Source organism: Homo sapiens, chromosome 1 (genome assembly GCF_000001405.40).
Source record: "Homo sapiens chromosome 1, GRCh38.p14 Primary Assembly".
Lineage (NCBI taxonomy): Eukaryota > Metazoa > Chordata > Mammalia > Primates > Hominidae > Homo > Homo sapiens.
Genome location: NC_000001.11, coordinates 41,359,463 through 41,384,363, shown reverse-complemented (window position 1 = coordinate 41,384,363; position 24,901 = coordinate 41,359,463). Strand labels below are relative to the sequence as shown.

Sequence of the window (24,901 nt, the reverse complement as noted above, 5' to 3'; positions counted from 1 at the left end):
ATCTATAATCGCCTATTTGCTGGCCTGTTCTCCCCAGGAGCCTCTAAGTTCCTTAAGAGTAGAGACTGTGTCCGTGTGGCTCTAGGGCAGCCCCAATGCTTGGTATAAGAACTTAACAGGTGCTCACCGAATCTTCCTGGAATGAACGAGTGCAGGACCTGCGCTGAACACTTTCCATACCTTTCCTCATGCCTGACAGAAGTTCATGAGATGGATGCTACTATTCCATGGTGTAGTCCAGGAAGACAAGGCTTCAGAGGCTGAAAATTTGCCCGAGGTCACACAGCTGGCAAACTGTAGAAAATGGATTCCAACAGCAGTCTGTGCACCTCAAAGGGATCTCTTTTCACCATCTCTACCCTCCTTCCCAAGTCATTTTCTCTCTCTGACCTTGTTTTCTCATCTGTACAATGGGAACAAAAATCGTGCCCAACACAGAGCCTGGCACTAAAGGTTCTCAGTAAATATTTGTGCATCCTCTCCCAATCTCTGAGGCTTATTTAGGACGCATTTTCCTGGGCCAAAACTTCGTGCATGCACATGTTCACAGAAACAGGTGCAGAGCTCGACGAAGCACATCTTCAGCACGGGGGACTCAGTAGGCGCTTAACCAATATGTGCCGGGCAGAGGAGCATTAGTTTAGCAAAGGCTGACGAGTACCCAGACAAAAAGCCACAATAGTGACTCAGGCACATGAACCCTCCCCCTGCCCCAAGTTCCCTGTCAATTATCCTCCGCCACCACTCCCCTTCCTCTAGCCCAAGGCGCGGGAAATATTTAAAACAATTTTATTCATGAAAATATGCTGTACAATGCACTCTACACAGCCTCGACACGGCACACACGCACACGCACACTCTGACGGCACGGCCACGGTACACTGCCTACGATACGCGCCGGGGACGCCGCGCCCACCGCCCGTCCCGGCCGGACACTTATAAATATGGGAGAAGGGCCAGAACTGGCGCGGAGAAAGGGGCGTCGGGGTTGGGGGTGGACGGGGCTGAGGCCCGCTGCAGAAGCTGAGACCAGTACTAGGGGGTGGGGGCGGTTGAAGAGAGGGACTGACTCCGACGGGGGAGGGGAGAAGCGAGGGCCGGCAGGGATGGGAGGGGGAGACTGAACTGTGGGGGTGGCGGTCGTCGGAGGGCGATTTGGGGGTGGAGGGCTGCTCAGGGTGGATGGATATAGGTAGGTGTGAGTTTTCCGCAGAGGGTTGCTGGCTTCGGGTGGGTGAGACTAAGACCAGTGGGAAAGTGTGTCAAGTGGGAATCAGATCCGTGTTTGGGGTGGGCGCGGGGTCACGGCTAGGCCTCCGCAAATGAAACTGAAGATTTGTAAACGCTCCCTGGCCCATCTCCTAGTTGGCTTCCCCGACCACCGTCCACACCAGGCGGCCCACCCCGCTCCTCCCTACTCCCAGCCAGCCTGGAATTCAGCCTCCTCTCCCAGGCTTCCTGCCCAGGAGAAGGGGGTGGATCTCAGGAGTGTGGGCAGGAGCAGTGGGGTGCCCCGGCCCCTCCCTCCCCTTCCCCGGCGGCCGGCCTCCGAGAGGGGTCCCTAGCTGGGCTGGGGCCGCCTCCTGGGGAGCTAGAGTCGGGGGCAGGGACCCGGGAATCAGGATGGGAAGACAGAGGCCCCCTGGGGACGGGACGGGGCGCCCGGAGGCGGGAGGCGGCCCTCAGCCCGGCACCCAGCTCTGGTTGGGGGGCGGGGCCCCGGCCAGGCCCGGCGGCGGCGGAGGCAGGGCCGAATCGAAGTTGAAGTCCATTTCGTCGCTGTCCATGAAGTCGTTGAGGATGATGGACTCCACGTCGCACTCGAGGCTCCCGCTGAACATGTCGAGGTCCAGGTCGGCCGGGAAGCGGTCGGGCGCGGCGCCCAGCGGCCCGGCGGCGGCGGCAGCGTAGGGCCCCGGCAGAGCGTCCAGCAGGAGGCCGCCGGGCGGGCCCCCGAAGGCGGCGGCGTGGCCCGGCGGTGCCAGGCCCGCGGCGCCCGCCTCGCCGGGCAGCGTCATAAGGCTGATGGGGTGGGCTAAGGCACTGCGCGAGGGCGCGGGCGGCGCGTACGGGGCCGCCCCTTTGCCGGGGTAGGCGGCGGCTGCGCCCGCCAGCGCCAGCTCCCCCGGCGCACCCAGCACCGGGCCGGGCCTGGGCGCGGGCCCGCGGCCCGTACGCGTCCTGCGCGCCGTCCAGCAGGCCCTCGGGCAGCCCCGCGCCGCCGCCGCCGTGCAGGCCCAGCGGGCCTCCCAGCTCGGCCAGGCGGGGCAGCTCACCCGGACAGCGCGAGCCCAGCGCCGGCGACAGCGCGCTGGCGGGGCTTGGGTACATGAGCGGCGATGATGGCGCCAGGGCCTCCAGGGCCTCGTCGTCCTCCAGCTCGGCCGCCTCCCCGAGCAGGGGTCTCCCGCCGCCGCGGAAGTCGGCCCAAGCCTCGTAGTCGTCGCTGGCGTGCGAGGCGGGGCTGGCGGCCCACTTGGCTGCGGCAGGCACCGGCCCCGGGGCGGGCGCACTCGGGGAGCTGTCGTCCGGGCTTCGCTCGGGCGCCTGCAGCTGCTTCTTCTTGCTCGCCTTGCCCTTGATGCGCAGGAACTTGGCCCCGTTGTCCATGGACACGGCCCTGCGCCGCGGGGTCTTCCCTGTCTTTCCGCCCTCGGGGTTCAGCATCCACCACGAACTCTTGCCGGTGCCCTCGTTCTGCACGCGGATGAAACGGGTGTGCAGCGACAGGTTGTGCCGGATGGAGTTCTGTGGCCAGAGACAAGGACGCGGGTGGGAGTCGGGGGGTGAGGAGGCCATGGGGAGAGAGGGGACGTGATGGAAAGAAGAGGGGGAGGATAAGAGAGTGTAGGAGGAGGAGGGAGATAGGGATGAGGATGAGGTAAGGGGGTTGGGAGAGGGAGGGGACAGGTGTAAGTACCGGGTTGGACAAACCCAGAGTACCCACCCTCTGCCCCAGAACTGCACCCCCCATCCCTCCCCACTCCCACACAGAGACTGCCCAGAGGGTGAGGCCACAGCTTTGGGCCTAGCCTTTCCCTGGGGGCATGGCCAACCCTGTGGGCTACTCTGAGCCTGCGGGGGGCCTGCAGCAGGGAGCAGGACCCCGTCTCCCCAGCTCAGCCAAGCCCCACGCGGGGCTAACCAGGCTGCCAGGGCCCCCAGCAGATTACGTAAGGGCTTATGCCGCCGCGGCTCATTTGTCCGCCCCCCTCCCTCTCCAGCCTGGCGTGGCGCCAGGAGCCCGAAAACCCAGGGCTCCAGAAATCAATCTCGCGGTGACTGATTAAGCCCTGTTTAGAACTAATTGCTCTTTCGTGTGTGGGGAGAATAAATTACCTGCTTTAATTTCGTGTCTTTAAAATGCAACTGCAGGTAGAGAAGACTGTTAACCCTTTGCTGGGAGGGCCTGGCCAGGGGAAACAGAGTAGGCTGGGGTCCCCAAGGTGGGTCCAGGCCTGAGACTTTTCGGAGGTATCACCCCAACTCCTCTTAGCTGCTGTGAACTCCACAGAGGGTTTGGATTCCAGCAGGCCCCTCAAAAGACATCCTTTTGCCACAGAGACCTCAGCCTTCACCCTCTTCAGTGCCCACCTTCAGGCCAGCCCAGCTCTCCTGCCTGCCCTTTGGGCTGCACCCTGCCCTCCTCTCCTGACCCACCTGCCTGCCCTCCAAGCCCCTTGCTGTTGGAGCCTTCTCAAAATCCCCACAGTGTGTGGCAAAGTCCCCATTCACACGCCAGAAGACCTAGGCTCAGAGAGAGGAATGGCTTGCCCAAGGTGGCCTTTTCTGCTGTCCCTCGGTTCCTCCCTGGGCTTCACCTCTGCCATCTCTCCATACATCCTCTTTTTAATTCTGCTGTGCCAGTCTCCAGTGCTCCCCATGTCACTGCCTGCTTTTGCCAGGCCTGTTCTGAGGACAGAGGAAGGCAGGAAGTCCACTGGCCCCACTGGAATCTGGAGTAGAACTTCTGCTGGGCCTGCGGCACCCCACCTCTGGGGCCTCCCACCTGGTGGCCTCAACTTCCTGGTCCAGGTACTGCTATGGAAACAGCAGGGGCTTGGGTATCAGAGGGTGGGACAGGATGCCTGGCTCTTTGGCTGCCTAGCTATGTGACCATGGGGTGTTTACTCAGTTTCTTGTGAGCCTCAGTGAACTACTCTGAAAAAGTGGGCTACATTCAGTAACTACCTCTTAAGGCTGTAAGATCATTACATGTGCATGAATAAGTATTTGCACACCAGGTGCTTATAAACGTTGGTTATATCCTCACTCTGGCCAGAAGCTCTCACCCCTTCGGTCCCCCAACAGACCTGCTGTTTCCATCTCTTTAACATCATGCCTTGTGTGCAACTGTGCTGGGCACCAACAACTCTGGGAAGCTGGCATTCTCCAATTTCATACACTAGGGACCGGAGGCCCAGAGGCATGATGTAACTTCCCGTGGCCCCACAGCTAGGCAACGATGCCCGGTACCACTCCAGCTCTGCCCAGCTCATGGACCTGCTCTTAACCTGTGAATCCACCCAGCCACACTCACAGCCACTGCTCTGTGAGGCTCTCCCTCCTGCCTCCTTCCCACCAGTCTCCTGGAGGAGGGGTCCTTCCTGCTGCCCAGGGTACCCTCCCACCCCTCACCCCCAGCTCCAGGCACTGATCTGACTCCTCAGGGCCCCAGGCTCCCTGTCTCTGGCACTTTCTGGCCTTTGAAGGCAACAGCTGGGACTTGCCAGCCTTGCCCTGCCTGGTTCTCTGGAGACCCTGAGGGGAGGGGAGCTGGGCCCCCAGGGAGCAGTGCTCCCTCAAGTAGATACCCCCTTCCTGTTCCCACCCCTGCACCTGGCTCCCCAGCCCCTCCCCAACACCTGTGTTCAGCCTCCTAGGAGGCCTCAGTTCTCCTCCCCCATAGGACTGTCTGGCTTACAAGAGGCTCCACCTCCCACCTCCCCATTTCTCCAGCTGGAGGTCACTCAGGCAACACCTCTTTATCAATGTCATTATGTCCTGGAGGAAGGACAGTACCAGGTACCAGCACCTAGCAAGCGCTTGCCCATTCAGCCCTGGGCACTCTAAGTACTTTATCAAATGTAATCATTAGATGAACTCCACACAAGTCAGGGATTGTGATCCCTATCTCATAACCGGAGAGTGAGGCTCAGAGATGTTAAGTGAGTTACCAGGGTCACACAGCTTAAGTGCTGTGCCATGTATTGATTTCAGGTTGGTGTTTTGTTTTGTTTTGTTTTGTTTTGTTTTGTTTTGTTGAGACAGGGTTTCACTCTAGCCCAGACTGGAGTACAGTGGCACGATCTCAGCTCACTGCAACCTCCGCCTCCCAGGCTCAAGTGATTCTCCTGCCTCAGCCTCCCAAGTAGCTGGAATTACAGGTGCGTGCCACTGCCACCCAGCTAATTTTTGTATTTTTAGTAGAGATGGGGTTTCACCACGTTGACCAGACTGGTCTTGAACTCCTGACCTCAGATGATCCACCCGCCTCGGCCTCCCAAAGTGCTGGGATTACAGGTTGGTCTTATTCTAAGTCTAAAGGATATCACATTCTGCCATGGAAGACAGAAACAGGTCTGAGAATCCCAAAGAATCTTAGGAAGCCAGTATTCCAGTGCTCCTCAAACTTTCCATGTAAACCATCCCTAGAAGCTGGCAGCAGGGGAAGTCTGGGGGCATGTTGCACAGGTCAAAATTTCCTGCAAGTCTAAGCTTCCTTTTTAGACTTCAAGGAAATTTTGCATAGACTTCATAATCCACCCACATTTTCTTTATACACATTATTCACATGTTTTAGAATTACCGCCAAGACAAGCTCCAGGCCTCTGAAGGTTTGCATCCTTCCCTGCTCTGTCCCATATCCAGCCAGGTACCCCTGGAGCTCAGGCCTCAGCCTGAAACCATGGCTGGCCCAACCCATGGGGAAGAAAGGACTTGCCCAAGGCTGTCCGAGACCTGGTGGCAGAGCAGGGATGTGAGCCCAGGCCTCCCGACCCCCAGCCCCGTGTTCCTCCCACTCTACCAAGCCTGACCTAGATGAAGTTTCTCCTTCTTTGGGGGCCTCAGTGTCCTGAACTATAAACTAAGGAGATGGGCAAGTTGTACTCTGGGAACCTTTTCAGTTTGACAATGAAAATCCTTAGAATCATTCAGTCCAGAGGTTTTCAAACATTTTTCTTAAATAGGGGAACTCTTTCTGTAAATGAGATTTAGTGCAAAACTTAAGCGTTACACACTCAAGCCAATGGTGGTGGGGACAGGAGTACCTGGATCCCTGTGCACTCAGCACCCTTTTTCACAGAAAATGAAGCTCCTGGGGAGGATTCTGCAGGCCAGATGGATGGGGTCTTTGAGGCACAGAGGGATGCCATGCCTTGCTCAGGGTCAGACAAGGTGGCTCAGAGCTGAGCGATGACCTAGGCCTCTGACTGCTGAGCTGGGCTCTGAACCAGGTATGCTCCAGGGCTGTGCCCCATGAGAGAAGCTCAGGCCCTGCAGCCCAGTCTGGCTCCTCAGGGCCCAGCCACCTGGTACCAATCAGAGCTCCCTGCCAGATCCAGTGGCAAGCACTGATCACAGCTCTGGCTCACACCACAAGGCCTCCTGGGAGGCCAGAGGCCATGGAGGAGGTGAAAGAGGCAGAGGAGGGAGATGCCTCTGCCAGGCAGCAGTAACCAGGGCTCCCTCTTAGAGTCGCCTAGCAACCCACCACCACAGCCACAGCCCTGGCATGCCCGGGCTCCCCAGGTGCCCAGAGCTGGGCCCAGCTTCTGGGGCCTCATGCCTCCCACACCTACATCCAGACCTGGAGCATGTTGCTAGGGGAGTCAGGACATACCTGATTCAGGGCCCGAGGGAGACCATCTGGGGGCAGAGGGAAAGGACAGTGGGTTATATCTCATGCCTACCCCGTTCTCCTTCAGAACCTGGGCCAGGGAGCCCAGCCCCCAGGGATTCCCCCACCAGGGAGGAGGCTAGAGTAGGGCAAAGTACATCAGCTGTAGCGTTCGAACTGGATTCCCCGTTTCAGCCCCATCACCTGTGAGTGCTATGACCCTGGGGCAAGATGTTTTCAAGCTCCATTCCTCAAATGGCTCCCTGCTCCCTCCCTCACCTCCTTATAGCACTCCACGCAGCAGCCAGAGTGACCCTTCAAATAACCGAGATCACGTCCATTCCTGCCCAGATCCCTCCGACACCCTCCATCTCACTCACAGTGAGGAACAAAGGCCTTGCCATGGCCCACAAGACCCACAGTGACCATGCAGGTACCCCGCTCCATCCCTCCCTCCCATCCTCAAACCTGCCAGGCATGGTCCCGCCTGCCCCCAGATATCCACAGAGATCGCTCCTCTCCTTCCAGTCTTTGTTCAGATGCCATCTCTTGGAACGGGGCCCATCCTGACCTCTCTTAAAAACTGTTCCTCTTCCCTGGAATTTCTTGGCCCCCTGATCCTGCTCTATGTTTTTCTAAAGCATTTTCACATTCTAAATTAATACATTATTTATCCTATCTTTATATTAGAATATAAGTTTCATGAGGGCAGTGATTTTTATCCTTTTTAAAACTGTACCTCATGTGTTTGGTACATACTAGACACTTAAATGTTTGTCAAATGAATGAATGGATGAATGAATAAGAGAAAGTGTGTATGTGCAAGGAGGAGTAATACTGTGTTGTAGGGAGATTAAATAAGACTGGGCAGAGTGGCTGACACATAATAGGGGCTTTTCCAAACTGGGCAGAAAGAAGACACAGGCAGGATGAGAAGCAGGCAGTGGGGTGAGAATGTCCGAAGCAGTCTGACCCACTGAGGGGTGCCAGGGAGAGGAGTAGGGCATCCATTGGGGGTGAAGGAGAGGTCCCACGGTGCACAATGCAGCTGCCTGCCCTCCCCAGCCCCCCACCCTGCTCCCCAGAGAGACTTGGATAACCCAGGGCTGGCACACACCGAGGTCTCCCCTGGGCCAGAAGACGCTCCAGGAGCCCCAGTGGGAACAGGATAACCTCGTCGTTGCTGATGGTGCCTCCCTCATGGACAGGGTCTGATCCATTTGGTGGTGGCAGCTCATCTATCCAGCAGGACACCCTCATCTATTCCCAGGATGCCCTTCACCCACGAGCAGTAATGCATTCACCTGACAGCACAACCCCATTTATCCAGCACACCAGTCCCATTTATCCAGCAAGTACAACCTCATTTGCTAACAGCACTCCATTCACCTGACGGGCCCCCTCATTTATCCAGCAGGACACCCTCATTTATCCTCTGAGTCGGACACTCTCCTTCCTCCTGTGGTGTGGCTGTGTTCTCTGATGGAGCAAAAGCCGACTGATCCAGCAGGACGTCATCTCTACTACAAGTACACTTCATCCCCTGACAGTACAACCTCATTTATCTAATAATGCAGCCTCACCTTGCCCCCAAGTACCACCTCATTCCCTGACAGCACAACCTCGTTGATCTTCCGGTACAACCTCATTTCTTCTCCCAACACAGCTTCATTCTCCAACAGCTCAACCTCATCTAATCTTATGCCTCCAGCCAGGGCCTGCCAGATCTCCGGGAGCCAAAGGAGAGTGTAGAGAAAAGAGAGGTCCCTCATTTGCTGTCCCCCACCCACAAGGGCTGCCTGGTGCTATAACCATCCAATTTCTCCAGGCCCAGAAGGGGCCATGGACTTTGAGTTCTAGGCTGCTTGGCCAAGCCAGAACTCCACTATTGCCCTGCCTCCTGTTCTGTCCCCACCATGGCTACAGAGGGCCCACAGGATGGATTCTGGGACATGGACTCATGGTTGCTGTACCATCTTCTTATTTATTTATAGCCAGGTTCGTTCATTCTTTCTTTTCTTTTCTTTTCCTCTTTCTTTCTTTCTTTCTTTCTTTCTTTCTTTCTTTCTTTCTTGCCAGGGTATTTATTTATTTATTTATTTAGAGCCAGGGCCTCCCTCTGTCACCCAGGCTGGAGTGCAGTGGTGCAATTATAGCTCATGGTACCCTTGACCTCCTGGGCTCAAGTGATCCTCCCGCCCTACCCTCCCGAGTAGCTGGGACCACAGGTGTGCGCTACCACACTCGGCTAATTTTTATATTTTTTGTAGAGAGGAGGATTTCTTATGTTGCCCACGTTGGTTTCAAACTCCTGACCTCAAGTGATCTTCCTGCCTCGGCCTCCCAAAGTGCTGGGATTACAGGTGTGAGCCAACTTGCCTGGCCATCTCTGTGCCATCTTCTTCTGATCCTGGGCAGTGGGACTAGGGGAAGTTACCTTTTCTGGGGCACATTTAGTGGTGTGCTGGCAAATGTTTAACCACCAGCTCTTCTGGAAGTTAAAAAAAAAACCTACCTGATTTGATTTGTAGCTGTTGCTGCTTTCTGTGGTACGGATACTCACATCATAGCCAATTTTAAACTGCCACATGACGTCACCGAGTGCAGAATTGGGAAGAAGTGTGCACGATCAGCCCTCATGAGCCAGTGCAAACCAGCTCTCGCACACCACTGGCATGTGCTTCAAATGCTGAAGCCAGAGAAGGGCACCACCTACTACATGCCTAACATAGGCTAGGCTCCTTTAATCCTGATAACCATCCTGTGAGTAGGTACTGCGATTTTACAAAGGGGGCAAACTGAAGCTCAGGTGGGTTAAATGACTCCTGAGGCCACAAAGCTGGGAAATGACGGAGCCAGGCTTGGGTCTTAGGGCTGCTGGATTCCAAAGCCAGAGCTCTCCCACACCTACCCCTAATGTGGCAGGGGACACTCTGCTGTCCACCCCAGTGGCCATCTCCACCTTGACGCTCAAGCCCAAGCTCTCCTAGCTTTCATCAGAGACAGGGGACAAGGACTGTGCCCCCACCTACCACCAACCCTGTGCTACCTCCTGGCCTCCCTGGTACCTGGGGTCTTTCAGGATCCAAGTGCGGCCCTGCATCTTGTGTCCACCCATCACAGCCCAAGCCCAAGGTCAGGTGTGGATGCCTGTCCAGGTTGCATCACAGTCAAAGGCTCAGCCCAGCCCCTCCCTCAGGAGACTGACCCTGACTACCTGATGGGGAAAATGACCCAGCACCTGTTACTGCAGTGACCTCCTGTGGGGCTGTGGTGAGGGCTCTGATCCCCTCTATGATTCCCATTTCCTCCTTCCCTCCTGGCCTTCCTTCCTGCATACGGAGAGGTCAAAGACAGGAGACTGAATCCCAACTTCATCCATGTGACAGTGGGCCTCCACTATAACGAAGATAACAATCCCAGCATCCACAGGGACATATGGGACCTGGATGAAACCTCACATGTCAAGAATGTCATCCCATCCCTGTCTCAGAGCCCCAGGAGCCTCCCCATCCTACCCCTTGCCCCCACCCAACTCTGGGGCCCCAGCCTGGCCTAGGAACACACACCTGTGTCAGACAGAGCCACAGACACCCTGAGAGTCACTTGCCCTGCCATCTGGGGTGAAGTTCAGGTTCTCAGTCCAGGCCTCTTCCTGGCAAAAGATGTGACCTGGATGATGCCAGGGACCCGAGGCCATGTGCAAATCCTCGGCACTAGGGTCTGCAGTGGAGAAGGGATAGAAGGGCAGCTGGGGACCATGGGACACAGATGTCTCCAGGTGAGTGGGCTCAGGATCAGCAGCGGATCCTAGAGTGGGCAGCCTGGGGCCAGGAGGAACCAATATCCAAAGGAAGGCATGAGGCTCTGGCACCCCCCAGAGAAAGCAGAGCCCACACACCCAGGCTCGGCAGCAAATAAACCACCAACGAAAGTCCAACCTCACACTGCTCCAATGCCCATTCGTCCTTGTCACCTGCGGGCTTGGGTCCAAAACCAGGCTGATACTAAAGAGCCCTCTGATGTCCTCCAGCCTCATCGCCCCCTTCCCTTAGGGCCATCTGGGCCTCCAACCACCTTGGATGTCCCCATCCCTGTGCCTTTGCACACTGTTCCCTTTACTCTTGTCCCTTTCTCTGCTCTATCAGTTCCTGTTCCTCCATCAAGGCTAGCTCTGTGGCACCTTCCTCATCCCCTATGCAAGCCCCAAAGATAGATGCTCCCACCTTAGTGCTCCTGTAGAGATCTAACAGCAAACCAGAGCAAAGTGGTGTCTGAGCTGGCCTCCCTACTCGAACTCTGTGGGGCAATCCTTGGCTCAAGAGAAGTCAAGAGATAGGATGGAGCCCTCAGTAGCCACGAGCTGCTCATGCCTGGCATTTCTGTGTAGTTTCTGTTCAGCAAAATCTCAGGCCAGAGCTCCAAGGCTTGCCCACCCTCTACCAGGGTCCTGTCTGACCCTCCTCCCTGCTGCTTTCTCCTGCAGCTCCTGTTGCCTCTGCCACCTCCTTACTTGACCCCAGTACTTCCTGCCTCCTTGGGAAAGTGAGGCAGTGAGTGGGGAAGGACTACTGCTTCTGAGACATTGACCACATGCCATGCCCTGTGCTGCCACTCGAAAATTATCTCATTGAATTTTTGTAACAACCCTCTGGTTGGTTTATTGTCCCCATTTTACAGATGAGAAACTGAGGCTCCAAGAGACAAACTGACTTGCCCAGGGTCGCATAGTGTAAGTGGTGGTGCAGGAATTTACACCCAGGGCCCTTGCTCTTTCTCCTGCCCTGAGAGACCTCCAGAGAGGAGCCAAAGCCAAGCAGAAGCTCCAGCGTGAGCCTGGGGTAGGGGCAAGGGGACTCTCCATACTAGTTCAGCAACCCCTTCACAGACCCTCCTTCATTCGGGATTAAAAAGAACCCCTAAATGCAAAGCATTCAGACTTTTCCATCTCCCCTCTCAGTCTGAGCCCCTCCCTCCCTCTGCAGGCAGCACTTCCCCACTCCCCTGCCCCAGGCCCTGGGAGCAGCTGCAGTGACCTCACCCAGCCCTGCCCTGAGCCCAGCTCTGGGGAGGGCCCAGCAGCTGTGCCCCAGCCCTGCAGGCTGGCTCCTGGGGGAGAAAGAGGAAGAGTGGGCATGGTGCCAAGAGAACCATCTGCTCTCCCAGGGGCATGGCCACCCGCACAGACACTGGCCTTGCCCCCAGGGGCTGCCCTTGGTCCCCATGCCAAGGGGCTCCAGGAGCCCAGGGCGGCCCACCCAGACCGGGGCACCAGCCCTCATCTGCCATCTGTCTTCTCCTAGAGACTGAGAGGTCCTTGCAGGACATGTTGGAGCACTCAAATGTCCACTGGAAAATGAACAAGTGATCAGAGTAAGCCCTAGGGGCAGAGGCCAGAGGCCAGGGTAGGATGTGCTGAGCACTGCCTCCCCCAGCCCCGGCCCCAGCCTTGTCTGGCTAAGAGCCCTCAATCCCTTCCCGGGGCCCTCCATCTCGGCACATCTGTTCAGCTGGCAGGTGCCTCAGGAAGAGGGCAAGCCCCTTCCCCCAGGGCCCCAGCTCAGGTTACAAGAGGAGGAGGAGGAGGCCAGCTGAGGACAGAGGGAGGGGACAGGAGAGAGAAGGAAGAGGCCTCACAGCTTCCCAGAGTGTTGGGGGAGGGGAACTCAGAGCCAAAGAGGGAAGGGCCATGCCCAAGGTCACACAGCTTGCCAGTGGGGCAAAGAGGAGCCAATGTCCAGGGGCGGGCAGTCCTGGGTTCAAGGGTGACCTTGAACAAGACATGTCCTTCATCTGTGAAAATGGGGTGCCTAAAACCTGTCCTGCTTGTCATCCAAGGCTATGGAGAAGGCTCTGGAGGCTAGAAAGCAGTGGGCCCACCTAAGGGCAGGAGGGAACTTGGACATCCTGAATATCTGACACCTCGGTCTCAGGGACAAGAAAGGGAAGCATTAGAGGAAGGACCCTATTATTATCCTATTTTATAGAGGAAGAAACTGAGGCTCAGTTGCCCAAGGCTACGCAGAGGGTAAGTAGAGCTAGGCTATGCCCGCCTGTTTGCCTCCAAGACTCCTAACCACACAGCTTGGCCTCACCTAAGGGATTCTCAAGGCACCAAGGGGTGCTGCCTATGCCAGGCCTGATATCTGGGACTCTTTGGGCCTCTGCCCTATCTCAGGCTCATTTTCTCCCCTGGACCCCAGTAGCAGGCCCACACTGGGCACCTGGGCCAGCCTCTCCCTCCTGTCCACTCCCCACAGCACCCTTGAGTGACCTCTGCCCATGTCATTCCCATGGAGAATTCGCAGTGAGAAGCCCAGAGCGTGGGATGCTGCTCTTCAAGGCCACTCACTTGCTTTCCCAGTTTCAACGCCTGCTGGGCCCCACATAAGCACAGCCAGACCCTCTGCGGCTCCCCACACAGTCCTGAGGCCTTGACCCTCTTTGTCTGCTTTGTCTCCCTTCCCCTCTTCTACCTCCAAACACTCAGCTCATTATCTGGCCTTCCATCATGACCCTGAGCAGGTTTTACCCTGCATCAGAGTCAGTGTCCTCCTTTTATCTCCCTAGCTTGACCCCTGCAGGCTGGGATCTCAAGGTCAAGGAGCTAGTCCAGTCCCCACCCAGCAGCCCTGCATAATAGGTACCCAGTGGATGTAGCCCTGGATCACGGAATGGAGGGAGCTGCCTCAGCCCTGGGGGCTGCAGACCAGGGGAACATCAGGCTGGTCTGCCCCCACCTTCAGGGTGCTCTCTATCTGGGAATGGGAGCCAGGGACCCCAGGGCCATTCCCCAGGCCAGAAGCCTGAGGGCCAAACTCCAAGGGATAGCAGAGAGACAATGATTGGGAGGGGGAAGGGGCAGAGGGGAGGAAGGTCAGAGCCCTGGGCTAGGGTGGAGTTAGTCCTGGAGAGTTTCGTTTCTGCCACTTAGAGTAGGGTACTGTTCAAGCTGCTTACTTTTCTCATTCTTTGTTTCCTCACCTGCAAAATGGGGAAAGTAACCCTACCAGCTTCACAGGGTTGCTGGGAAATTAAATGAAAGAATGTACGTAATGGCACATGGCAGGTTGAATCCTGAGCTGGAATAGTTCAGTGTGGCTAGGGCAAGGGTCAGAAGATGGGAGGGTGGCTGGAAAGGTTGACTAGGGCTGGTGGCCAGGCCTTAAGTGTCCTACTAAGGCCCCAGGACTGGATTAAGCAGCTATACACATGACCCTCTTCTCTCCCTCTTCTCTGCTCTCTGAGAGCAGGGGCTGTGACTTTTTTTTTTTTTTTTTTGAGACGGAGTCTCGCTCTGTCGCCCAGGCTGGAGTGTAGTGGTGCAATCTCAGCTCTCTGCAAGCTCCACCTCCCGGGTTCACGCCATTCTCCTGCCTCAGCCTCCCCAGTAGCTGGGACTACAGGTGCCCGCCACCACGCCCGGCTAATTTTTTGTATTTTTAGTAGAGACGGGGTTTCACCGTGTTAGCCAGGATGGTCTCAATCTCCTGACCTCATGATCCGCTCGCCTCGGCCTCCCAAAGTGCTGGGATTACAAGCGTGAGCCACCACGCCCGGCTGTGACTTTTAGTTTCTTCACCATTCCAGTTCCAGAGAGGCTTCCTGAGTATTTACAACCACACAGACTCTGGCCTTGTCCCCAGGGGCTCCCTCCCTCCTGCAGCAAAGGCTCCTAGTAGCAAAGCATATCAGCCCTGGCTGTGGCTCCATTCTCTTCATCCATGTCCTATACAGTGTGATTTCTAAGCCATGGGGTGGCTGCATGATGCTGACGTGGTGGCCCAGTCCCTGGGTGCTGACTGCATGGGGTTCAGAACTCTGGAGGACCCAGAAGGAGTGAGGAAGAGGGGCGTAGCCTCAACCTGGGCAGCCTGCTTGGAGTAGAAGCTGGTCCATGCTGGGAGGAAGAGACAGGGGGACAGGCAGGAGGTGAGGAAACCACCCTCTAAGGCATCAGTTCAGAATGACCTGTCACCAGCCATACACAGATTCCAGAGCCCATGCTGATATAGAGGATCTGAGCTGGGGACTGGAAGCCTGTGTTGTCAGAGCTTCTAGGTGACTCTGATCATCAGCCAGGTTTGCAAACAACTAAGGACTTGAGGCAGGAATTCTCAATCAGAAGTGTTGCGTTCCAGAATCACCTGGAAGGTAGGGCTTTGTTCAAACCACCCAAGACCCCACCTAGTTTCTGAGGGGTATCCCGAGGGATCAGCCAAGGAGAATCAATAGGTGCCTTGGTGACCGTGTGACAACGGCAGTGGGGTGTGGGTTGAGAATTCCAGTGTCAGGTGTGAAGGTGCAGATGCCAGGGCGACCTGAGATCAGAGGAAGCAGGAAAAGTGGGAGGAAGGGCAGGGCCTGGACAAGGTGGGCTGAGGGCCTATGGGTCCCAGCAGAGCAGTTTGGGTACTTGGTTGACTTCCAGGTGAACCAAGGAGCCCAGGAGGGTTCTGGAGCAGGAGAGCCTGGGGGCAGGAAGGCTGGCTGGCGTGTGGAGCTGACAGCACCAGCATGGGGAGATGCAGAAATGTGGCAGAGACAGACGGGTCCGCGGCTAAATCCAGGCTCCGCCTGTCCCAGCTATGCTGCCTTGGCCAAATGACCTCATTTTTCCGGGCCTCCGTTTCCTCAACTGCAAAATGGGGTTATTAATGTGTACCTAGAGGGATCCAGGGAAGATGAAATGAGAGAATTTATGTGAACTGCCCAACTGACTGCCTAGCACCCAAACATTAATTCTCTTACCTCTCTTTCTCCTTTCCATAAGAAGCACCCCCACTTAGAGACCAGAAAGGTTTCTCTCTGCAAAGAGGGAGGCCCCTGGGGGAGGGTGTCCCCCACACGCCACCTGGCCCCCCTCCCACCTCCACATATGGGTTGGGGGGTGGGGAGAGGCAGCAAACAGCCAAACCCTCCCAAACAGGAGTTGGTTTCTATGGTAACCAGGGTGCCAGGAGAAGGGGGGTGCTCCAGATCCAGCTGTCCCCCTGAGAACCCTACCCAGGTCCCAGAGCCTGAGCTCATGCCCACCCAACACCCTGAACCCCCATCTGCCTGCTCTGGGGGCCAGCTGGAACTGCCATAAACACTCCTTTCATTGTACCCAGAGCATATCTGCCACCTGGGTACTGCCACAGACAGGACAGGCATCTTTAAACAGGAGTCCCAAAGTCAAGTCCACCCACACCTGTACTCACATGTGTCCACCTGGGAGAAGTCCTCTCAGTACTATGTGCCCTCTTTCCAATGAACCCCTCATGGCTCCTAGAACCAGTGTGCTTGTCAGTTACGGCACTGAACCGGTAAGAGACTGAGTTAAGGCCCTTTGGACACAGATGAGAACACTGAGAACCAGAATGGGAGAGAACTTTGCTCCAGCTCACACATGCAATGGATCAGGTTCCCTACAGGTAGGTGTTCTGTCCAGCCCCTCACCTACTCCTGACTCCACAGCTAACTCCAAATGACACCAAAGGGCTGGACTAGAAAACCCTGTGTGATGCTGAAAGGGGATGGGGTACTGCTGGGGAGAAGGAAATAAGTCCTAAAAGCTTTAAGACTCACCTAGCAGCCAGGCATGGTGGCTCATGCCACGATGTAATCCCAGCACTTTGGGAGGCTGAGGCAGGTGGATCCTTTGAACCCAGAAGTTCAAGACCAGCCTGGACAACATAGGGAAGACCCCTGTCTCTACAAAAACATCTTTTTTAAATTAGCCCAGGTGGGATGGCCTGTGCCCATGGTCCTAGTCACTCAGGAGGCCGAGGTGGGAGGATCACTTGAGCCCAGGAGGTCGAGGCTGCAGTGATCTCTGCCACTGCACCCCAGCCTGGGTGACAGAGTGAGACCTTGTCTCAGAAAAAAAAAAAAAAAAAAAGACTTGTCTAGCAACAGAATGGGCAATCCCAGAGACGGTGAGTTTCCAGTCGCTGGGAGTGTGTCAGAGGGGGTTGAGCTGGGGAGGAGTCAGGGGTGCAGAGACTGGGTTCCAGGACTCTGCAGCTCTTTGGAGAACCCAAGTCTGATCTGAACGTGAGGGAGCAGGCACCAATGCATAGGCAGGCCCAGCCCCACCCTCTCCTGTTTCCGAGGCACCCCCAACTCTGGGTAAACGGGAGTTGGGAAGGGGATCTAGTGAGTCTGCTGGGAGGTAAGGGAAACTGAGGTGAGGAAGGGGCTCCCCCTGCTGTAGCTGATGCACCCACATCCCACCCAGTACTTGACTACCCCTCAACCCTTACAAGTCACAGATAGGACCCCATGTGGTGGTCACCACTAGCTGCCACTCAAAGACAGGGAAGGTAGGCGGCAGGGAACAAGCCCTGAAGCCTTTCAGAGTCGAAAACAAGCCCTTCCCTCCAGCCCCTGCCCCACCTCAATCCTACCCAATGGAACAGAAAAAGCTCGAGCTTGGGGTCCAATTCCCAGGTCCACTACTTCACAGGTAGCGACCTCAGGGAAAGTCACTTCCCCACCTGGAACACAGGGGTGCCAGCCCGCCTGGGTGGCGATGAGGGTCTGATGGGAGTGCTCTGGACCGGCGGGCGCCTCTGTCACGGCCCCCTCAGCCCTCCGCCCCTCTGGCAGGGCCTCTCCAGTTCCTCAACCTCCCTGCTCCCTCTAGTCAGTCCCTTGGCTGGAGCCCTCGGGGCGTGCAGAGAGGGGCCCCCCAGACCCGCAGAAAGTGGGGGCTGGGGGCGCTGAACTTTCGAACCCGCAAACCCCCCGCGCCGTTCATTACCTTAACGCGAGTTAAAAATAACCGTCTCATCTCTTTAAATTAGTCTGTCTGCAATTACCGCCTGGCACGGCGCTGCCCGCCATCGTCCCGCTGGAGCGGCGCCAGGTGGCAGGCGGGGCCCTCACCCTGTCTGTCGGTCTGTCTGCCTCCAGGCCCCCTCCTCTCCCGCCGCGTGGCTGCCCCAGGGGCCTCCCTGAGCCCCGCCTCCTCAGCTCCCTAAGTTGCGCGGGGGGTGTGGCGGGGGCGGCCGCCGTGGGGCCGGAAGGGAGCGAGGGGGTCCGCGGGGAGCAGAGCGGGGTGGGGGGGCTGGGCACGGCGGCGGGGGAGGGGCGCCGGGAGGCCCGGGAAGCCGGAAGGGCCCGAAGCGCGCCAGCGCTCGTGGGTGGGTGTGAGCAGGTGGTCGTGGGAGTCTGCCGGGCGTGCCAGCAACTGTGCCAGGAGCGGCTGGCACGGGCTCGTGCCCAGGAGGCGGGCAGCTGCCAGCCCCCCGCTCATGCAGTGAGGGGGGTGAGGACACCCCCCAACCGGGGCTCACACCGCCTCCTCCCGCACCCCCATCAGCCCTTGGGGCTGGGGATCCCCGGAGGACAAAGGAGGAGGAGGGAGCCCTGCTGGAGCAGGCTGGGGGGAGAGGAAGCGGGTGGCTTCAGCTGACAGCCACTGCTCAGGGCTGTAGCAGGACCCTGCCCCCACCCTCTCAGATGAGTCCCTCTCTTCCAGCCCCACCCCACCTGGAACTTACTGGGCCAGATGGGGGTGGTGCCACCCCTCCTGATCCCACCTCTCATCACCCAGGCTGCCCCAGCCCCTGGGAGAGAAGGGAAGTTCCCATCCAGAGTGCTCCTTCTGGGGACAGGAATGGGAGGCGCCCAGGCCTGGCCTGGGAGCTCCCAGTGGAGCTGGCAGCCAGGAAACACAAAAGCAGGCAGAACAACTCCAGGGGCACTAAGTGGAAGGTGTGCCAGAACTCAGAGCAGCCTGAAAGGCTTCCCAGAGGAGTCCAGGGCCAAGGGAAAGTGAGACTGGAGCATCTGAGAGAAAGTAGGAGGCTCTACCTGGATATTCAGTCTTGGGACGCTGTAGAGGCACCGCCTATCCAAGCCCCCATCCTAGGCCTGGAGGGGAACATGACCAGCCCCTTTGGTTGGGTTCCCAGCAATGAGCCCAGCCTCTCTAGGCCTCAGCATAGTCTGGGTGTCCCCAAGCCTGCTGCTGGTCTTGTCTTCTCCAATTGCTGTCCTGCACCACTCAGCCACCTCCCTGCATCACAGGTGTGACCACAGGGATAAGGCTAAGCATGTCATCCCTTCCTGATCTGGCCCATTCCACCCTTCCCATGCCACCTCCCTGTCTTGCCTGGACACCCTTGGTTTGAGTCTGGCACACCCAAACTGTCCCCAAATCAGACATGCACAATTTCACCTCCCTGCCTTTGGGAATGCAGTCAATACTTCCTGGAAGACTATCTCCCAAATTCTCCCCTCCCCAGTGAAGGCAGTGCAGTCCAAGTGCCACCTCCTCTGTGAGGACCTCCCTGGCTCCCCCAGGGTATCTAACTCCCCTTCCCCTACCTTTCCCTACCCCCATCCCCAGCCTTTCCTATCTACAAAACACAAGCCTGGGTGTGGAACTGGCTAAGTCCTGATTATTCTGAAATAGATCCAATTAATGCCTTCTCCTTTGGTCCCCTGCCCCATCTAACACAGGGTTTGGTACACCCCAGGGATTCAATTGCAGTATATTTGTAGGGGAGGGGAATGAGGAGAGAACAGTGGGCCCTGGCCCCAGGCCTGGCACCTGAGGTGTTCTGTCTGTCAACCTGAGCCTGGCTGGGAGCTGGGACGGCTCTTTCACCAGGCCTCTGGAGGAAACGACTGGGAATGGGGAAGGGCACCATGCAGGAAGCTCCAGGAATAAGTGGGGAAGTAGGCTTGCTGGGGAGCTGGGTAGAGGGTGAAGTGGAAGGGGACAGCATCAGGCAGGCCCCTTTCCAGTGCCTGGGTGGTCTCTGCCAAAACCTAGGTCAGGAGCCCACGCCTTAGGCTCCCTCTCCAACACACAGCCCGTGACTGGGAGCCCAGGCACAGGGAGAATCGGTGTGTCCCTAGCAGTGTGGTGCTGTGGAAACCGCATCCAATGGGCAGGCGGGAGGCCTGGGCCCTCATCCAAGGCCTGCTGCTCAGTGATGCCGGTGGCAAGACTCCTATCCCCTTCCAGGGCCTCAGTCTCACCGTCTGGGAAATGAACTCATGGGTCTAAACTATCTCCAAGCATATTCTCAATCACGTTTTAGGATTTATACCTGCCCATATTCAAAGCCTTCAGTGTGTCCCTCCCACCCCCCCACCCCCCCGCCAGCAGGACACTGTTCCAGAGGTGCTTGGGGACCCTGGAGGGAGACACATGTAGGCTGGATTCCAGCTTTCCCATCTACTAACTGTGTGACCAGTTCACTCCTAAATACGGGCCTCAGGGCCTTCCTTGTACCTGGGGCCAATGCCGGCTTTGGAGACCCTGGAGGGAGACCATTTGGTCACAGTAAAACCACCTCAGGGACTGCTGAGAGCGTTAAAGGCAGATGTGTCAAGGTGCCTCTCACAGTGTTTGGCCCCAAGACCTTCAATGAACTGCAGTTCTCTGCTTACTTCCAGCCTCATGTTCCCTCTTCCCATCTTTCCCCATGCTGCCTGATGCAGCAAGCCCAGCTGGAGCTACATGTCCTGCAAGAAGCCCTCCCAGCCACTCTGGCCCAATGTACTGTCCCCTGCCTCAGCATCCTGCACCATCCACTCAGTTCCCTACTCTTTCACTAGACACACACTGGTGGCTTCTTGGTGTCAAGACTGTATGCTGGGTGCTGTGGGCACAGAATGGTTCTGACACTGCCACTGTCTTCCAAAAGCAGGGTAGAGAGGGGAAATGAGACAGAACACAAATGACTAAAACCTGCTACCAGCAGGGAGAGGGCCAGAGAAAGGGGAGTCCTAAGCTAGCTAAAAAGGGTTTAGGGAAGGCTTCCTGGAGGAGGCATCTGAACTCTGTACCCTTGAGGACAGTGAATACATCTACAGGGAGGAGTAAGCCAGGGCATGGGGAGTGCAGGACACACTTGGGGGAAATGTGTTCTGGTGGGGGTTGAGCCCAAGGGGATGGGAGAGGGGATGCGGAAAGAGACCCAGGTCTACTCCTCCAGCCTGTGTTCCTGCCCCACAGTGGCCGGTGAGGGACAGAAGCTGCCAGCACTAACCCTGAGAGCCATGGGCTCCCAGGTCAGGATACCCTGGCTCTACAATGCTGCCCCTGGGTATCTAGAGCTGTTCATGCCCACAAGTCTCCCCTCCTCCACTGGCACACCTCCTTCCTCTGACCCAGCTCACAGGCACCACAGGGCACAGCCCCCTCCCTTGACATAGGCATGCCTCCCTCACAGAGGCCACTCCTCCCATAGGGAGGCTGACAGTTCGCCTCCTAGGCACAGGAGGGGTCTCCAGCCTCCTCTCCCCCAAAGGCATAGACTATCCCCACTCTCCAACAAGATGGCCAGGGGAGGAGCTGGGTCGAGAGGCCACAATCCAAGCAAGCCCCTGTCCCCTCCTAAGGTGGCTCCCCCCTTTCCACTGGCTGGCACTGAGGCCTCCCTGGGGTACCCTGCCCCTCCCCCAGCCCCTAAATGGATCTGGGCTCCGACAGCTAGGGAAGTGGAAAAAAGCATCCTGGGTGGGTATGGACAGATCCCCAGCTCTCAACACCCTGTCCTCACACCAGCAGGGGCCATCACCAGTGACCCCCATCCTGATCTAGGTAAGGGGGGCAGCAGCCACCCCATGGAGAACTCAGATCTCAGGTCACCTGCCGAGTTCCCCACTCCAGGCTGGTTGGTGCCCTAGGGTGAACTCTGGCACCACAAGAAGAACTGTGGGCCCATGGTCACACTCCTCACCCTGGGGACAGCTCCAGGAAGCGCAATGATAGAGATTTGGGAGGGAAAGCCGGCATTGGCCCCAAGTCATTATTCCAGCGCTCTAAGAAGGGTGCCCTGGTGGAAAGGGTAAAACAAGAGTCACACAAAGCAGACTTGGGGGAGGAGGGGGAGGCTCCCCAATGTCCGCGGCCTGGGAATGGGTTCCTCTGCTATGCCCCCAAGGACAGGGTGGGGACGTGCCTCGGGGACGCCTCAAAGCGGCAGTCCCTTGTCACCCTACCAGACCTCCCACCCCGCATCCCTCCCCGCAAGGGAGCACGCACACAGCTGCTCCCAGTACGCCCCCGCCCGTCCGCTGGCCGGCCCCACGCCCTGGGCGCACACTCTGTGACCCCGGGGGGTGCCAAAAAGCCCTCCTTCTGACGGCCCTCCTGGAGCCCAACACACCTAGCAGCCCCTGGAAGCCCCAGTCGGCGTCCCCAGCCCCCTCCCCAGCCGGACGCCCCCACCTTCCAGCCGGCCGAGCTGTTGCTGTCGCCTTTATCCTTGAAGTAGGGCACGTAACGGACCATCCAGTCGTAGATCTGCGAGAGCGTGAGCCGCTTGTCCGGGGCGCTCTCGATGGCTTTGGTGATGAGGTCGGCGTAGGACAGGTTCCCCCACGCGTTCCGCCGAGAGCTCTTCGCTTTCCGCAGCGGTCCGACCTCCGCGCCCAGGGGCGGCGCTGGGGCCATCGCCGGGGCCGTAGCCCGGCGCTCCGGCCCGCAGTCCTCGGCGCCCTCGGCCACCCCTGCGCCCAGCGCTCCGTCCTCGTCGCCGGCCAAGTCAGGCTGCGGCAGGGGCCAGGTACACGAGCGCGGCCGGCTCTGCGGCGCGAAGTCCGGGTCCACGTCCACCTGATGCGCTCGCAGCTTCGCAGCCATGGTCCCGCCCGGCTCGGGCGAGGAGGGGAGGGAGGCTTCGCGGAGGGTGGGCGGGCGGCTCCGGGATCTGCACGCCCCGGGGAGGCCCGCGGGAGGGGTCCCTGGCGGCGCTGTCTCAGCCGCGGGGCGCCATGGGCCGAGGCGCGGAGGCAGGGGGCTGGACGCGCTGGGGAGCACGAAGGGAGGGAAAGACCTGGGCAGTGAGGGGGCGGCGGCCCGGGAGCCCAGCGGGCACACACCTCGCCCAGCCCCGCTTCTAGCACCTGCCGCCTGCCTGCGCCTGCAGCCACCACCGCCACCGCCGCTGCCGCCGCTCCCCGGGCGCCGGCCCTGCGCACGGGCCCTGCTCTCCCGGGACGAGGCCGGATTGCACCATGCCGGAGCCCGAGCCGGTGCCGGAGCCCGCGCCGCCGCCGCCCGGTGAATGCTGCCGCCGCCGCCGCTCCGGCTCCAGCGCCAGCTCCCGCGCCTGCCGCGCTCAGCGCCGGCTGCACCTCGGGATGGGCGGGGGACGGGGAGGGGGCGGGCCCGACGCGGGAGGGGGCGGGGCGTTTCGCCTGCGGCCGCGGAATCCTCAGCCAGCCCAGGTGCCCCGCCCGCGGGCTGGGAGACCGGGCGCTGAGCTCCCAGCTCGGGGCGACCCCGCCGCAGCCCCTGCAAGCAACAGCGCCGCCTACGGAGCAGGGGCGGAGCGGCTGGCGCGACCCCGCCCCCTGCTCGGCGCGGAGGCGGGGGGGCTAGGGGGCGGAGCCCTAACACTCCCATTGGTCCGCGGCTGGACTGTCCTGCCCATGGGCTCGACAGGATCCCTCCCAGAAGCGCGTCACCGGTTATTGTTACAACCCGGGGTTTCCCGGGGCAACGGGATGGGGCGGGGCTCAGGGCACTGGCCCCGCCTTCTACTCCGGAGAGGACTGCCCCGCCCTCTGTTTGTAGACTCCTGACGTTCCCAAGTCTCCGTTCCAGGACTCTGACAGGGAGGATGATCGAACTCTGCTCTTCTTTGTGCCCTGGACTGAGCTGGGGAAAAAGAATGGGTCAAGAATACCTGGGTTCTAGGCTAGGCTTTGCCACAATTCTCGCTCCTCCATCCGCAAACATGTTCTTCATGGTGCCTGTGGTCATAGTTTTAGAGCTCCAGTTCTCAAAGTTTGACGCAGAGCAGAATCATCCCCTAGAGCTTGTTAACATTGCTGGACCCCAACTCCAGAGTTTCTGATTCGGCAGGTCTGGGTTGGGGCCCCAGACTTTGCATTTCTAACCAGCTCCCAGGTGATGCACGAGAGACCACACCTTGCAAACCATTGTTTTAGAGTCTGTGGGAGGTTCTTACTGCGGTTGTTGGAACAAGCACTTGTCTAAAGTTCACAGTGTTTGGGGAGATGCTTCTCAATCAGTTCCTGGATATTTATTGAGCACCTCTGACGCACCAGGCACTGTCCAGGGCTCTACAGTGAGAGCAGCAACTGAAACAAATGAGGTCCCCTACTGCATAGACTAGTCAGGAGTCAGATGCTAATCAGATCATCACATGAGCTCAGAAGGGCGAGGCTAGCCGAGAGGTTGGGCAGTCCGTGGCCTCATCCTACAGGCTGCTGAGCTAGGTTTCCCAGTCACCACTGCACCTGCTGGCCTTCGCTCAGGGTATTTATCCCCTCTGCCTAGAACACCATTTCCCCGCCGCAAGGCCCTCATCAGAGATTCTCCCACTCTTCAAAGCTCCGTGCAAATGTCAACTTAGCCCTGACACCTTCTCTAGCCCCAACTCCCAACACTTTCTGTTCTCTGCTTGCCCAGACCACTTGTTGAGCTGCCAGCAACACCTTGTGCCCCTTTAGCACAATATTCCTATTTTGCCAATCAGGAAACTGAGGCCCAGAATGAGCAGGTGATTCCCCTGGTGGCATGGCCAGGACTGGAATCTCAAGCTCCTGATTTCTTTACCAGCCAGTACCTTGCTCCTGAGGACGCTGGAGATGCGAAGGTCTCTGGGCAGTGGGAGGGCTGAGCCCAGGCCATGGGAGATGGCCTCCTTTCTCAAAAATTTCTTCCTTCCAGTTTAGGACCTGAGGAGCAGGGCCAAGGGTGAGGGTGGGGGTGGGGCTGGAGGAGCCCCTCCTCATTCCCCAGGGTGGGAGCAGGACTTGCTTGCAGATGCCTGGCGTGGCATTTGCCTGAGTCATATCCCAAGGCAAGGGTGGGCATGGGAAGTGCTGGCTGACGACCCCTCCGATCCATACACATACACACATCCTCCAGGTGATTCTGTTTAGAGTCACAAGGAGCCTGAAATCATTGCTGAATCCACCCCCCACCACCACATCACTCGTATGCCCTCCATGCCTGGGGAGTCCATACTGGGAGCTGCTCCCCTAAGGGACCCTGGAGACCGAGCAAGCCTCCCGCCAGTCTGCGGCCCTGGCCCAGCTCTGAGCTGTGAGGCAGAGGCCTGCTGAGGGCCATACCAT

At 58.3% G+C, this 24,901-nt stretch overlaps 1 protein-coding gene and 1 long non-coding RNA gene across 2 annotated transcripts, besides 10 other annotated features; one reads left to right on the top strand and one right to left on the bottom strand.

The window, feature by feature from the left end:
* Positions 1-773: 773 nt before the first annotated feature.
* On the bottom strand, positions 774-22,930 carry FOXO6 (forkhead box O6). Its single transcript, NM_001291281.3, is given in 3 exon segments — positions 774-2,154; positions 2,156-2,748; positions 22,020-22,930. Coding segments are annotated over 3 exon segments (1,479 nt in total). The 5' UTR covers positions 22,434-22,930; the 3' UTR covers positions 774-1,682.
* Positions 2,078-2,127: a silencer, noted in NCBI's record as "silent region_747". NCBI's record gives its function as "represses an Ori minimal core promoter by ATAC-STARR-seq in GM12878 lymphoblastoid cells {active_cell/tissue: GM12878}" and the evidence as "EXISTENCE:reporter gene assay evidence [ECO:0000049][PMID:35858748]".
* FOXO6-AS1 (FOXO6 antisense RNA 1) lies at positions 8,695-9,360 on the top strand. The gene is made up of 2 exons (NR_135817.1): positions 8,695-8,839; positions 9,112-9,360. It is a non-coding gene; the product is annotated as an FOXO6 antisense RNA 1 (long non-coding RNA).
* Positions 11,990-12,888: an enhancer, noted in NCBI's record as "H3K27ac-H3K4me1 hESC enhancer chr1:41837148-41838046 (GRCh37/hg19 assembly coordinates)". NCBI's record gives its function as "activates a minimal SCP1, AML or CMV promoter by ChIP-STARR-seq in naive H9 embryonic stem cells {active_cell/tissue: H9 hESC(naive)}" and the evidence as "EXISTENCE:reporter gene assay evidence [ECO:0000049][PMID:30033119]".
* Positions 12,889-13,788: an enhancer, noted in NCBI's record as "H3K27ac-H3K4me1 hESC enhancer chr1:41836248-41837147 (GRCh37/hg19 assembly coordinates)". NCBI's record gives its function as "activates a minimal SCP1, AML or CMV promoter by ChIP-STARR-seq in naive H9 embryonic stem cells {active_cell/tissue: H9 hESC(naive)}" and the evidence as "EXISTENCE:reporter gene assay evidence [ECO:0000049][PMID:30033119]".
* Positions 17,449-17,498: an enhancer, noted in NCBI's record as "active region_864". NCBI's record gives its function as "activates an Ori minimal core promoter by ATAC-STARR-seq in GM12878 lymphoblastoid cells {active_cell/tissue: GM12878}" and the evidence as "EXISTENCE:reporter gene assay evidence [ECO:0000049][PMID:35858748]".
* Positions 18,049-18,108: a silencer, noted in NCBI's record as "silent region_746". NCBI's record gives its function as "represses an Ori minimal core promoter by ATAC-STARR-seq in GM12878 lymphoblastoid cells {active_cell/tissue: GM12878}" and the evidence as "EXISTENCE:reporter gene assay evidence [ECO:0000049][PMID:35858748]".
* Positions 22,215-22,434: a silencer, noted in NCBI's record as "silent region_745". NCBI's record gives its function as "represses an Ori minimal core promoter by ATAC-STARR-seq in GM12878 lymphoblastoid cells {active_cell/tissue: GM12878}" and the evidence as "EXISTENCE:reporter gene assay evidence [ECO:0000049][PMID:35858748]".
* Positions 22,635-23,294: a silencer, noted in NCBI's record as "silent region_744". NCBI's record gives its function as "represses an Ori minimal core promoter by ATAC-STARR-seq in GM12878 lymphoblastoid cells {active_cell/tissue: GM12878}" and the evidence as "EXISTENCE:reporter gene assay evidence [ECO:0000049][PMID:35858748]".
* Positions 22,635-23,387: a biological region, named in NCBI's record as "Sharpr-MPRA regulatory region 246".
* Positions 23,093-23,387: an enhancer, noted in NCBI's record as "tiled region #246; K562 Activating DNase unmatched - State 4:PromP". NCBI's record gives its function as "activates a minimal TATA promoter and a strong SV40 promoter by Sharpr-MPRA in K562 cells {active_cell/tissue: K562}" and the evidence as "EXISTENCE:reporter gene assay evidence [ECO:0000049][PMID:27701403]".
* Positions 23,455-23,524: an enhancer, noted in NCBI's record as "active region_863". NCBI's record gives its function as "activates an Ori minimal core promoter by ATAC-STARR-seq in GM12878 lymphoblastoid cells {active_cell/tissue: GM12878}" and the evidence as "EXISTENCE:reporter gene assay evidence [ECO:0000049][PMID:35858748]".